The 15541-nt window shown below is 35.9% G+C and overlaps 1 protein-coding gene across 1 annotated transcript in view; it reads right to left on the bottom strand.

Annotated features, from left to right (window-relative positions):
- The window catches only part of MACC1 (MET transcriptional regulator MACC1), an 82730-nt gene that overhangs the window by 26483 nt on the left and 40706 nt on the right, over positions 1–15541 (bottom strand). The window contains exons 2-4 of the mRNA NM_182762.4: positions 9577–9641; positions 3119–3262; positions 611–733 (exon numbers count right to left, since the gene is read on the bottom strand). Of these exons, the coding sequence (NP_877439.3) occupies positions 611–725 (115 nt within the window). The 5' untranslated portion in view covers positions 726–733; positions 3119–3262; positions 9577–9641. The remainder of the gene's footprint in view (positions 1–610; positions 734–3118; positions 3263–9576; positions 9642–15541) is intronic.

Consider the following 15541-nt stretch of genomic DNA (forward strand, 5'->3'; position numbering starts at 1 on the left):
AATTATAAAGACTCTGTAGACTTTGTGAAGCTAGTGCTGCTTTTAGAGACAGGCAGAAGAGCCAACCAAATTTTCAGAAGTTCTACTGAAAAAATAATTCAAGCAAACTGTCAGAATTTCTTTTGTTTAATATACATAGAAACATTACCTTAATTGAAATGTTTTTAAGTGTTATATGCTAAAAATTAGAAGACGGATTTTGAAAAATAAAGGTGGCATTTCTCTTATATTCACACTTTTCTTTAATACAATTACCCCTAACTCTCTTAAAACTTACTTTTCCTCTGAGGATCAGGTTAATTTTTTGATGCTCCATGAAGATTTCCTAGGTCAATCAACCTTCAGAGAGCCTTTTTACCCCCAAATTCATTATAGTTATTGCATATAACACTCATTTATTAACAACATTTTTCCTTTTTATAATATTTATCATAATCTGTTGGCTGTGCTATTTTATTTTGCACATCTTTTTAACTATTTCTATGATAAAAACAAGATTTTATAATTCTTTTCATCTTCCAGCATTTTCAGAGGTAGACCTTCAACAATTATTGGTGATGAATTTCATATACTTACATGGACAAATCACAACAGTTATAAATTCCCATACCTGTAATATTGCAACTTTTTGAGAGTTTTCCAGCTTCCATGTCAATCAAATTTGCTTCAGACATACTTTGTGCAATTCTTCCTGACCGAAAATGTTTTCTTTCAGTGATTAGCATTTTTCCACCTACAAAGTAAATAGATAAGTATTTTTTGTAAGCATACATATACAGGCTGGCAGAGAAAATAAACTCAAAGACATCATACGTATTTCTATAAAGAACTACATGTGAAAATCCTCTATATAAATCTTCTACTCCTGGTAGGATACTCGACTAGATATACTAAAATATGTGTTAGCACTCCACTAAAAAATGATCAAATTCCAGATTAATACCAATAACCAAATCTGGAAATATATTACTGATCCCATATAAAAGCAATTAATGAGAATTCCAAGGACAACAACAACAACAACAAAAAAGTAAGTTGAAAACTAAGTAAATAAACATTTCCTGTTTGGCGATTGGAGGACTAAATATCACAAACTAAAAATTTTCCCCTAAATCCTTGTATACATTCGATGCAGTTCCATGAAAAATTGCACGTAAATGTGTATGTGTATTTGTTACTTCTTTTTTAATAGTTAAAATTTTATTTATTTCTCAATGGATAAAATTGTATGTATTTATTGCATAGAGCATATTGTTTTGAAGCATGTTGTTTAACAACACATACAGCAGCAATAACTTCTTAAGCTATTTTAATATTTACATAGAAAAGCAAAGAGCTAATACTCAATCCAGAAGAAGAGCATGACAAAAGTAACTGCACTACCTATCAGATATCAGCATTTATCATAAATAGGCTCTAAGTAAGACAACATGGAAGTGGAACATAAATATATGAAGGACACAGAATAGAGATCTCAGAATCAGACCCACCCTTATATGAAGGATTGATACATGGCACAGGTGGCCAAACAGAGTGGTGTGGAAATGGTGGATTATTCATTAAACAGTGATGTTGCCATTTGTTGTGCATGCTAAAAAAATATTACATTGATCACTATCTCATCCTGTGCACAGAAAATAAATGCCAAGGGATTAAAAAACCTAAAAGTGAAAACAAAACCTTAAAATTTGGAAGATAGTCTAGAGATCGTCTTTATGTTTTCTGGGAAGGAGAGAATTTCTTAAACAAGGCACACACACTTATGCAATATGCAAATCCTAAAAAATAAAACCACACATTAGAATAAGACATCCTATATAGCAAAGGACATCAGTAAAAACACAAGCCAAAACTAGGACAATTTATTTTCATTGCACATGACTGAAAAAGGAAAAATAATTGGATTCCAAAATATATCAAAGATTCCCGCAAATCAATAAACAAAATAAAACAACACTATAGAAATTTTTGAAAAAATTCTCTAAATGAACATTTCTCAAAAAATGGAAACACAATGGCCCCTAGATATATGGAAATATGATCAATCTCATTGGTAATTAGGAAAACGCAAAATGAAACCCCAAGAAACACAATTTTTACCTATGAAATTTGCAAATATTTTAGTCTAGTAACACCAATTATTGACAAATATGTGCAACAAAGGGAAAGCCTATATACTTGTTGTGGAAGTGTCAATATGTGCAACCACTTGGAAGTTAATCTGACATTGTCTAGGAAATAGGCTTACAGCCTAGTACCCAACAATTCCAATCCCAGTTATTTGTTTTAGTGAAAACTCTGCAGATGTGCATCAAAGAGATATACATGAATATTCATTACATTATCAAGAAAACTGAAATCCCTAGGATATTCCCCAGAATATCCTTTGCCATATAAGTGGATAAATAAATTGTGGCATATTAACACAATGAAGTATCATACAACTATTGAAACAGATGAATCACAACTAAAAGTATGAACACATACTGGTAGTCAGTATCTCATGTCTGGGACTCAGCCTTCTTTACATATATAATTTCTCTTCATCCCATGACAACATTGAAAAACAGGTATTATAAATATGACTTTCAGAGTCTCAGCAATAGAACGTAACTAAACCACAAGATTGATTAGCAAGTGAGCCACTGACCGGAAGTTACTTGTTCATGTTATAACTACTATATGCAGCCCATAACTTAAGATGCCACATACCCTATGTCAGACTCAAGATTCCCAATGTACCTTCTGAGACTGTCCCACCTTCTAGTTCACATTTCCAGTTATTTTTTAAATTATCATTATTTGTTTATTTATTCAGAGATGAAGTCTCGCTATATCGCCCAGGCTGGAGTACAGTGGTGTGATCTCAGCTCACTGTAAACTCTACTTCCTAGGTTCAAGTGATTCTCATGCCTGAGCCTCCAGAGTAGCCGGGATTACAGGCGCCCACCACCAGTCCTGTCTGATGTTTGTATTTTTAGTAGAGACAGGGTTTCACCATGTTGGCCAGGCTGGTCTCGAACTCCTGACCTCAGGTGATTTGCCCACCTTGGCCTACCAAAGTGCTGGGATTACAGGCATGAGCCACCACGCCCGGCCCAGTTACTTTAAACCTTACTTTTTGTTCTCCTTTGTGTGTGTTGACCACATCTCGTTCACCTGTGACCCCTCCTTCTTTATTGTTATACTCTTCTTTCTAATTCTTGATTTTTTTCTTTTCAAGTAGTTTTATTTTTTAAAGAAAGCAGAAGCCTTTTCTGATCTATAAAAATGAAAGAAAAAATTAAAACAAGATGGAAAACAGGGAAAAGGAATAAAAGAAAAAGAAAAGGAAAAGGAGGGAAGCATGTGTTTCCAGGCATGATAATTAAATAAATCCAAAAATTGTCTCATAAGGTGGCATGCTTAAAAAAATCCAATGTTGCAATAACCATTTCTTTCCCTGATTGGGGAAACTACATCGAAAAAATGGGTAAAATGTTGAATTATGCAATATTCAAGTTGCACGGAAACCTCAAATTTCCTGGCAGACCTTCCAAATGCTGTGGTTGATTTTACCAAATATAATGTCCAAAATTAAAAGTTTTTAGCACAGAATAAGTAGTCAAAACTTTGAGGTAGAAAAGCTGAGCTCAAGTTCCTCAGCAAAATGTAACAAACTAAATTAAAATGAGGAACAAATGTCTAAATGGAAAACTATTTTCGAAAAGATAAAATATATTCTTAAAAAATCAACTTAGTAAACTACCTAAACTCTTTTTTTTTTTATGAGGAAAGAGCAAAATGAGCAATATGTACTGAGGATTCCTTTGAGGCAAATAACCGTTGATATGAAAAATAGTTATAACCAAATGGAATGTAGGTAGAAGTCCTCAACCACATAAAAACCAGGAATGATGCCTTACGCAGCTATGACCTTGAAGGATCATAACCTCTCAGAAACAAAGGCACCAAAGGGTCGTTAGCTGAGATTCTTTGTGGATTATCCTTATTCTCCAGTCACTCAAGCAGGTCTTCACTGTCCTTCAAGGTAGTTGTTCCAAAACTCAGTGGCACCAGGATCACTTGGAAGGCTTAATCAAACAACCCTTTGGAACCACCCCAGTGTTTCTAATCCAGAAGGTCTGGGATTGTGCACAAGAATTTTATTTCTAACAAAGCTGTCAAATGATGCTGATACTGTGGTTCGGTTCCAAGGGGCACATGCTGAGAACCACATTCTGAAAGCCATTCTAAAAGCTCCTTCCCTAGCCAAATGGTTTCCCTAGCCACTCTCACTATCCCACAACAAATCCTCTCTCTCATAATCTTTCTCTACACAAACACATCCCTCCATCCCTCACAGTACCATCCTAAATCTAAATTTTTTTCTATGAATCCAAGGAGAGGTGGTATAGGGGAAAAAAAAAAATCCTCGACTGGAAGGACCAAGATCTGCCTGGACAATGGCATTGCTTGTTTACACAGGTGCAAATCACATTAGCCACATTTAGCATTTCCCTATGTTTTCTTCCAATTAAACCCCATACTCAATGACAATTGCCGCCCAAAACAGGATTTTTTTTTTTACTTTATCTAGAGAAACATGAGTCAGTCTTTGTTGGAATGAGTAAATGAGAATAGAGTACTCTAGTATTCATTTAATTTGGGACATGGTTTTTCAATATGCCTTTTAAAAATACTTATGCTGATTTTGCATGATCCATTACTTTTTTCCTTAAGAAACCAACAAAGTTTTGCCCTTATTTATTTTACTATTTAAACTAGGCCCTAAGCAACTAGAAACATTTACCAAATGTACAACTTAGCAAAAAAGTCAGAAGATATTTTTTGTGAGGATAAGGGGTGGGGAGCAATGCAGTGTTTGGAATAAGTAACCAAGAAAACAATACACTTAAAAGAATTATTTCTTTAAAATGTGTCCTTTGAATTTTTTATGATAGTAATTACATTGTGAAAATTGCTAGTGTTAGCCAGCTGGTAGGTTCAAAGTATTTTTCAGTTAGTGCTTGAATACCTGAAACCTCGATGATTTCCATGAATTTGTACTGTATTTAACTCTTGATCTATGTGATAATAAAAACATGTCCATGTAGGCTATAACTCTTATAGGTGACAGGAGAGCAACTGTTGGACTAGTAGACTTTTCCTTCACCTGCCAAATGCCAAACCTGCCCAAGTAACATTGTATTACTTGTAAATGCAACCAGTATTTTTTTAAAAAGGCCCACAAAGGAATCATAATCAGCTGATGATACACACCTGGTATGATTTTACTGGACATTACCATGCTGTGAGTGGCCTTACTGGATCTTACCCTAGGGCAACTTCTGATGGAATAGTGGCACTCTCTGATTGGTAATTTTTAATAGTATACACCATACACAAGCATACTTTCTCCCAGTTATTAAATACTTCAAGTGTTGCAGCTGATGATTCTGACCAAATATTTAAAAGACCTGACAGGGCAAATGTCAGCAGTTACTTTTCCCCAAGGCAAAGAGTTTCAGAAGATTCTCCAGGGAAGGGAGCAGGCCTCCCAGTGCATTAAGCGGTATTAGAAATCCATAATAATTTCTATGATACCTCCAACCCTGGGAACTCAAAACATTTCATCAATACGTCATCTTGTTAATATCACCAGGTCAAGATGTCTATCACTTCTTTCTATCTTATTATCCTTCCATCACTGGCAGAACTGAAGTTCAGGAAAATCATAATAATTGTGCAGCATAACATCATATTAGTGAGACTAAATCAGGGATATAAAAACAGTAGGTCAGAAACTGTTTGAAGTGCAGCTTAGTGATGTAGTCAAGGAACATATCCAGAAATCTAGATCTGGAAGAAAAGGTATAAAGGACTCCCTGAACAGATACACAAAAGGAATATCTTGGGCCTGTAAAAAATAAAAAAGGTAAAAGATAATCATAAGAGCTATTATTCATTATTTATTTGGAGCTTGCCACACTTCTGGTATCATGCATGGCTTTTCTTGTTTACTTGCAACAATTCTAGAAAGTTGGCTCTACCATCATCCTTATTTTTTTTTTAATTTATTATTATTTTTTCAATGGAGATGGAATTTTGCTCTGTCGCCCAGGCTGGAGTGCAGTGGTGTGATCTCAGCTCACTGCAACCTCCACCTCCCGGGTTCAAGCAATTCTCCTACCTCAGCCTCCTGAGTAGCCAGGACTACAGGTGCATGCCACCACGCCCAGCTAATTTTTTGTATTTTAGTAGAGATGGGGTTTCACCATGTTGCCCAGGCTGGTCTCGAACTCCTGAGCTCAGGCAATCTGCCTGCCTTGGCCTCCCAAAGTGCTAGGATTACAGGCATGAGCCACTATGCCTGGCCTCCATTATCCTCATTTTAAAGGTAGGGAAATAAAGTCTTAGGGACATTATATGCCCAAGATTATAAAGCTACTAAGTAGCAAACCAGTCTTTGAACTTAAGGATACTAGATACTAGCAAACACATTTTTGAACTCTACACAACACTTTCTACCTATAGGTTAAAACTTCTCTTCCAGAGGAAGCGAAATTTGAGACTACACCCTGACCCTGTTGCTGGAGAGTAGTATCAAGCCACAGTGTTGACCCCGGAAGATCTCCAAGTTCACAGCAGGACCTGCATCATGGGCATGTGACCTGTGCAATAACACAGAGCCCCACTCTTGGATAGGCCCCATGCTTGGTGTAATGCTCTGCCACTGCCATCTTGAAATACCTAATATGTTTTGAACAAGAGGTCCCATATTTTCATTTTTCACTGGTGCTGCAAATTATGTAGCTGGTCCTTGTTCACAGAGTTGGCAACCTTTACTCTTCAGACCCAGAGAAATGACTAAAATTACAAGGGGCCATGAAGAAAGGAGAAAAGCATTATTTTGGATGAAGAATGCTCATCTTACAGATGATGAACCAAGCTGCAGAGAGGTTGATAGTTATTTGTCTTTTTTATTTGAATTCCCTACAGTATGTTCATTTTACACGTGTGTGTGCATGAACATACCCACAACACACATGCACTTCCTTGGCTTAAAAATATGTTGAGAAATTTACAAATAGTCAAATAACACAATGAGTTTAAACAACAAGTAAGTGTATATTATTCTTCAGTAAAAAAAAAAAAATTTAAAAACAAAATAAGTGAATAAATAAGGGTGACATTTGCAGGAAGTTGGTAGGACAACTTCAAATAAAAGCAACTTCACAAACATCATGCTGTAAATTCCAGTATACCTATTAGCAGTAGTCCACACATTTGGCTCTCCACTTTCTGAAAGTGACCAAAATAAGGTAAACATGATTAGTTACAAGCTTCACAGTGATCATAGAACACAAAGAAGCCACTTAACAGCAGCACCAGCAATACCTGGAATAAAGAGGGGTGAAGAGGAGCATGTAACTACTGGGGACAGTATCCTCGGTCCCACCTTTTACAGTATGTTCAACAGTAAATCTCTTTAATGGAGCTCTTTCTTAATGTGTGTTGATGTCATCTCACCCAAAGGCAATTCTGTCAAGTCAGGTGGAGAAGAGTGGGCCCAGCTAGACAGCTATCTGCCTCCCTATTCTAAGATAAGCACACATGTCAGGTTACAATCCCAAAAGGACAGGACCTAGTCCAGTAAAGCCCACTATGCTTGGTTCCTCTCAACAGAGTTTCCCTTTCCACTTTTCAAGTCAGAGCTGACTGAGACATTCTAGGCCTAAGATCCAGAGCAGCTTTTTCTTTTGAAGACCCAAACAATTCACTAAGTTAAAGATAGGAGTCACGTTCTCTTGTGAAAATTGAGATGAGTAAATTTGAGATGACAATTGAGATGAGTAGCTAAAATGTAGCCTGAGCAGAAGATCATTCTACTTCTGCATGCTGTGCCATGATAGGGACTGCAGTTTTCCTCAGAAACAGTTTTGTTACTGCTCCCACACAAGAGCATACATTTCCAACTTTCAAGGCCACAGAGCAAAGCTGTAGTACTTTCATTGTGAAAAACATTTAATGACTTCTTTTACCTAATCCCCACTGTTGCCATAAAATATTCCCAGTGATATGTCTCTCAGGTTTAACTTTAAGCAATAGATGTTTCAAGCAAACTCTGAGAAATAAATTAGCTACAAATCTTGTCCCTGGGATTGGACAAGTTTAATTATTGCAAGAGTAGTTGGATATGACTTTGTGTAGTTATGGACCTGCAGTCATTTTTCTTTCCTGTACCCTTCAGTGCAAAAAACGTGTTCTGGGTTGTACTTTTCAAAAGGTATAAAGATCAACCCCCAATTCAGAAGGGGTGGACAAGACGTGGGTTTATAGTGTGGCTAATAAAGCTGTAACTGTAGGGTCCTCACTTGCATGGTCTTTTCTAGCAAACTGAGCCAAATTCTGTATTTGTTTTCTCTGCAAAGCTCCACTGCTTCCTAGAACACTTGACAGTATATCAGGAGACCTCACTGGTTGTCATCAGTCAGCAATGTCTTTCCTTTCTTTTATGTAAATGCATTTTTGTAAAGTAGAAAGAATATAGGCTTTGGAGTTACAATTCTCTGGTTACAGTCCTTCTAGTATAAACTTGGAAAGATACTGAACATTTCTGGAACTCTACTTATCATCTGTAAAGAACTAAACTAAAATAGGTAATAATTAGTATTACTATCAACATATAATAACCCCACATGCTGTTCATAAGGATCAAATGAAATACTGTATAAAAAGTGGCACAAGAGGACCCCTTGCTTTTCCTCTGGTCTCTCCCTCCTGGTTATTCCAGTGCATATAGAAATAACTTTGCCAACTGGGCCCATTCAAGAATCTTCTCCTCTCAATCAGATGTCTTGAGACTCCAATCTCTGATAGCTTACAAGTTGTGTCTTGGGACCCTGTATCCTATTCTTCACCCTTCATAGAAAATTTTACCAGTGCCATGATTCCTGCCAAAAGAGTGACTGGACTCATCACAGCAGAGGCACTGGAGTGCAATAGAAAGAACGCAGTCTTTGAAAATAGACAGACGTAACTTCAGACCAATGCTTAGAAATGAATTCACTGGTCTGAGCACCATTTCCTCATCTACAAAATGAGGGTAAAATATTGTCTTCAAAAAGTGGTTACAATGATACGTGAAATATATCTCAATAAAGCTTTTTTAAAAAATTGTTGTAAATATTGAAATAACATAAATCCCCAATGAACATCAGTTGCTGCTTAAAATGATAATTCTTCTCTGTTTTTCACTTCTGTGCCAATTCCGTTGGTCTTAGACAATGTAATGAGTGGTTACTGACAAAGATATGTAAAGAATATTGGAAAAGAGGAAACAGAATAAACACTGTGAAAGTTTGTCATTTTAGCTTAACAGATTATTCAACTTGACAATACTTTTCACCTCTCTGAAGGGGAAAATGTAAAAATTATTGTATCGTTTAAAATTAGATTTGTGTTAGTACTTTTGCAGTAAAAGCAAGTATTTTTAGCCAACACTTGCTGAGTTGTTACTGTATGGAATTAATCGTAAGATTCCCAGCATTCTTTGCCAAGAGAAAAACACTCTGACATTTTGTGTATACTCACAGTTTTCCTTGGTTTGAACTTCAAACACTGATGTGAATCATTTGCATATCATCTGACAAGGCTACCTACTTGAAAGAGAATAAACATGAATCTTTGGTCACTGTTAAGTGAAAACAGAATGTTTATGCACTAACGTTTGCTATGAGAAAGAGCTTATGAATAAAATTTGGTAGAATGGGTAAGATTAAAGAGAGACTCATTACACCACACCATCCAATTCATACAGCAGGAATTTCCCTTAAATTCTCAACAATTGATTACATCTAGTTTCTAATGTTTCAGGGAATCACACTGTTTCCATTTGTTATTTTTGTAAACAGAACGGTGTGCAACAGTATGAACTCTTTGTCAAAGCAGTGACTTGAAAAATACTAATGCGCATACATGTGTGCATATATCTATTCAGAAATATAGACAACTGATAGAGAAAGATGGATATTGATATAGACATATATATGATTCAGCTGAACAAAAGTATTTTTGTTATTATTAATGCTCCACTGATTTCTGATTACTAGAAACTGGAAGATTATTTTATTTTCTTTTTTTTTTTTTTGAGGTGGAGTCTTGCTCTGTCGCCCAGGCTGGAGTGCAGTGGCGCTATCTTGGCTCACTGCAAGCTCCGCCTCCCAGGTTCACACCATTTTCCTGCCTCAGCCTCCTGAGTAGCTGGGACTACACGTGCCCGCCACCACGCCCAGCTAATTTTTTTTTATATTTTTAGTAGAGACGGAATTTCACCGTGTTAGCCAGGATGGTCTCGATCTCCTGACCTTGTGATCCGCCTGCCTCGGCCTCCCAAAGTGCTGGGATTACAGGCATGAGCCACCACGCCCGGCTGATTATTTTCTTTCTTAGAGACAATTATATCTGTTTTTTTTTTTTTGAGATGGAGTCTCGTTCTGTCGCCCAGGTTGGAGTGCAGTGGTGTGATCTCAGCTCGCTGCAACCTCCACCTCCCAGGTTCAAGCAATTCTTCTGCCTCAGCCTCCCATGTAGCTGGGATTACAGATGCCCACCACCACGCCTAGCTAATTTTTGTAATTTTAGTAGAGACAGGGTTTCACCATATAGGTCAAGCTGGTCTCGAACTCCCTACCTCAGGTGATCTGCCCACCTCGGCCTCACAGAGACAATTACATCTTCAAAATTTCACTTATTTCAACACGGTATCAAGTGATGATGTGAGTTACAAGAAGTCTGGAGGAAAAAGCTGAGAGAGGAAAACTGCCCTGGGTAAGAAAGGAAACCAACTGAGGAGACTGAGGATTGGGACAAGTGATTGTAGCCTAGAAGGGAAATACGAAATAAAAAGACATAACTAATGAGAATATTCTGAGGGAAATACTGAGAGGTATGCATTGTCAACCCTAATATCTAGTTCTCCCACACAATCTTCAGAAAAATCCATGTTACTCACTGATTCAGGAAACATTTATAGTGTAAAATAAGAGGCATTGAGTCCAACTTAACAGCAGGAATAAAAGGAAAACACAGCTGCCCAAATGAACATACGGGTTACAAGCAGGGTGAGCTGCCATTGATCTGGGTTTGCCCAGGACTGCCCTGTTTTAAAATCCAAACCTCTCAGTCCGGAGCAAACCAGGATGGCTGGTTACCACAGTTACAGGAACATGTTAGTATATAAGTACGTAGTCCAACATAAAGAATGTAAAATATTCAATGTAAATCTCTTTTCTATCTGTATGGATTTTTAAAGTATTTTAAACCATCATGAGGGAGAAAATAAAATATATAAATATATATACGCACATATATATACACACATATATACACACATATATATTTGAGCTATATAGGAATGACTTTAATTTCATGTTTAAATTAATTATGTTTTGTTATTCTACTTTCAGGTGTTAAATTCTAGTGGAAACAGAATAAAATACAAAATAAAATACAAAAGAAACCATTCAGAATAGAATAGGCAGAATTGTCCATCACTGTCATTTTTAATTCTTTCAATTGACCTAAAAGTTGAACCCCATCACTTAACCGCCCAAAGTGACAGTGAACCTCTCCAAGAAGGAGCTCTTCCTCTCCTTTTTCCTCCATCTCCCCTTTATTTAATGCAGGTGGAATACTCAAGGTCAGGAGCCTATCTCCTTGCTGAGAGCCTGTGCTGCTCTGGGGAAGCTAGTGGGTTCCTTGTGATCAGCTGGGGAGACGGGAAAAAGCCTCAGAGTTGTCCCCACAGCACCACCTGGTGCCAGGTTGGGGTCTTCCTGGACTGCTGTTTAGGAGTTTTGTCCTGTTCTTGCTTTCTACCTCCTTATCATTTTCCCTAAACAGTTTAGTATAAAATTGGGGTTCTCAACCATTCCTCTGCATCAAAATCAATTTCAGAGCTATTTTTAAAAATACAGATGCCCAGAAATCATCCCAAAAATCCGAGATGGATCCCAGGCTTCATTTATTTTTATAAAAAGTTTCTGGGAGATAAATTGAGAGCCACCAAATCATAATTATGAGGTGATAATATACATGTTTTGCTTTGTTTTCTAAAAACATATTATTAAACATAATAAAATATATGGCAGCTGAAGATGCCCATCCTTACCCTGGCACAAACATGTCTCGGGACTATGTGCTAGACATAGGATTTCACTATGATAAAGGAAAAATTTACAGCTCTCTTTCTTGGGGCATGGCCCTTTCTAGTATAGCCTTGTGATTATAGGAAAGATTAGTTTTGTTCCAGGTTTTAGGGACAAATTCTTCCTCCCTTAGTGTGATTGTCAGGGTCAATATCTTTGTCTTTTCTTTCCCTTTGAATTGTAAGATCTAGATAGTGACACTTCTGGATAGTAAGGTGATGTAAAGGTTGCCTTTGGCATAAGTCCTTGTTCTGCCTCTAGCTTATGCAAAAAGTGGGTTGCAAATAGAGTGCGACCTCAGCCACTCATAAAATTGTGTGTTTGCCTAGCATTATCTGCTTCAAACCTATTGTGCTAATGGACAATCTGATCTTGGGTCCTAGCCACATACCATCTTGGCCCAACTAACCAGTAGTCTCTGAAATGTAATAAATTCATTTAAATGATGGTGCCATGAACCTGTTTTAGTACTGGCTGGGGTCACTGAGATTGATGCTCTTGGGTATGATGGGGAAACTAGCTCTGAAAGTGAGGCTAAAGGAACTCTCCTGTCTTTTGAGGAGCAGTTGCGTCACATGAGTATGTTCATAACGTGGACAACTGCTTCCTTTGGGTATATAGATTCAGATTTGATTCATAAAAATTGGTTTGGGTGTATGGTTTCAAAGAAGTAGGTAAGTTCATGGATGGTTAGTTGGATGAACAGACAACAACATTCAGCACTTAAGTGTGACTTCCTGATGATCTGAGGTTGCCTGAATCACAGGGACTTTCTCAATCCTCTTTGGACCCCAGCACTTAGCATAATTCTAGAATAAGTTATGAATAAATATTGGTGTAATTATTAAAATTAAATGATAATGCAATATGTGTATAAAGACAAAGAGACAGAATTTGTCAGTGAATAAGATGACAGCTCATCTGTAAGAATCGTGTTGGGAAGCTTTCCCCAATCAGCATCTGGCAAAACTTAAATATTTCAGGGGAAGGAATGTGAGAAGTTCATTTTAAAACTTCTAGGATCAAATACAATGAATCTACTGTTTGAATTCAGGTATGAGAAAGAAATTTTAAAATGGTTAACTAAATTTCATGGCCCCAGCAAAATCAATGTTATAAAAATATAACTATATGGGAAATTGCAGATATTATAATGTTATGGGCAAAAGCAAGGTATAAAAGATTTTATATGGTATAATGCCTTGTGTGGGTATACAAACATATACAGCTTGCAGAGTTTTTTAATAAAGAAAAGTACGAGAATAAAATAAAATTCTCACCCCCAAAATCTACTATTGATGTTTTGTTTTGTGTGTATTATTTCAAATGGCATTTCCCTATTCACATAAAATATTATTAAAAAGGAAAATATAAAGCATATAGTAAAAGCATGTACTGTGTGGGTATCTCTGAATGCAAAATAATGTTCACATTTGTGTATGACTATTCACGGTATCAACATTAATTTAAATACTCTTTTCCCTTTGCCTTTCAAGAACAATTTACATCCTTAAATTTTAAAAAAATGTATTTGTTATTTTGTATTGCTTTTGCAAAATCCTTTACTACCATTTTCCCAGTTTTCTGTTGATGAACTTGAAAAATATTCTAATACTAAATATATCAACCCTTCATATGTTGTATATCACATATCCCAAATATCATCTCCCAGTATCTTCTCAGTTCTCCTATTTTATTTACGATATTTTATGTCATATTCTAATTTTATGTTGACAAATCTATAAATCTTTTCTGACTTGGCCTCTGTTTCTATATTTATGGTTAGAAAGATATCATCTACTCTGAGATAAAATGAATATTAACTTATATTAGCTTCTGATTCCTTATGGCTTTAACTTTTTTTGATGAACTCTTTAACCCGGCAATATTTTATTTTGGTATATGATGCAAAATTTATGGCATTATTTTCCAAACTATCCATTATTCCAACAACCATTAAAAGAAATCTGTTACCACCAATATCATAAAATAAATGTGTGTGAATATGTACAAAATATATACACATATTTAATCAATGTTTTGGTTTTTCTCTTCTTTTTCATGGATCATCAACTTTAAAATATGACAGGCAAAGGCAGATTTAAAAAATTGATCAAGCAATAGAACATAAAAAAACACTTATAGGTTATTTTCAAAGATATCTGCATCTAATATATATAACTCTTGATATATTTTCAAATGTATTGCAAAATTAGCATTTTCATATAATTGCATATATGCATATATGTTCATGAAACTATATATCTATATATTCATATATTAGGGGGTTTTGTGCCTCTGGCACTGGTAAATAACCAAGAAAAATTTTAGGTAACATTTCATCCTGTCACCAGAAGACTGTCACAGTGTTTAATCTTGAAAGCAGGCTTTTCTTCTATTTCTCCTTCTTATCCTTTACTTGGATGAAGAAATAGCATTTTAACATGACTCTTGGCCCCAGTGATAAAACCTAATGCTAATATGTTTGCTGACGGTGAAGCTGGAGCAGCCTTAAATCAATTCCTTAGAACTATTTGGAATATAGCAAATATAAAGCTGGAACAATAATAAAAATATTTCCATTGTAGGCTACAAAGAAAAGACAACACTGAAAATCAGAGATCAGTGTTAGAAGTGGGTTCTACAACTGACCTCTTCGATATCCTTCAGTATTATTGCACCTCTTGAGCCTCTGTTTATGCTGTGGTGCCCATTTCATAGGGCAGGTGTGGAAATCAAGTCAGAGATATTAAAGATGATAGTGATTTGTAAACTGTAAAAAAATTACTAAGTACAACAAATGTTCTCTCAAAACTTATTAATAGAGAATATTTTTAGGTTTCTGAATAGACTATTGTTTTATGGTCAGAGTATAATTTAACTTCATTTTACAACATATACATAAAACATCATGTTGCGCATCTTAAATATATACAATCTTCATCAATTATACCTCAATAAAACTCGTAAAAATAAAAGAGAAGTCTATACATGAGATAAAATGGCATAGAACTGTAGCAGGGTTAATTAATCTGTCAAGTCTCACTGCTGATGATGGCAGTGCCAGATTCAACCCGTATTGAATTGATCAAGTCTATTGTTTTCAAAGCCTGTATTACTAATCATCATGTTTCTCAGTTCTCTGAAAATAGGGATAAAATAATAGTTAATTTAAAAGATTAGCCTTATGCAATGTCTTTTAAAAATTCAACATAAACTTGCCATGTGCCCAGCAATCACCCTGGATGTTTATCCCAGAGAAATGAAAACTTATTTTCATAGAAATGTATTTACACAATTGTTTATAGCAGCTTAGTATTTAATAGCCCCAAACTGGAAACAACCAAAAT

Source organism: Homo sapiens, chromosome 7, assembly GCF_000001405.40.
Source record: "Homo sapiens chromosome 7, GRCh38.p14 Primary Assembly".
Lineage (NCBI taxonomy): Eukaryota > Metazoa > Chordata > Mammalia > Primates > Hominidae > Homo > Homo sapiens.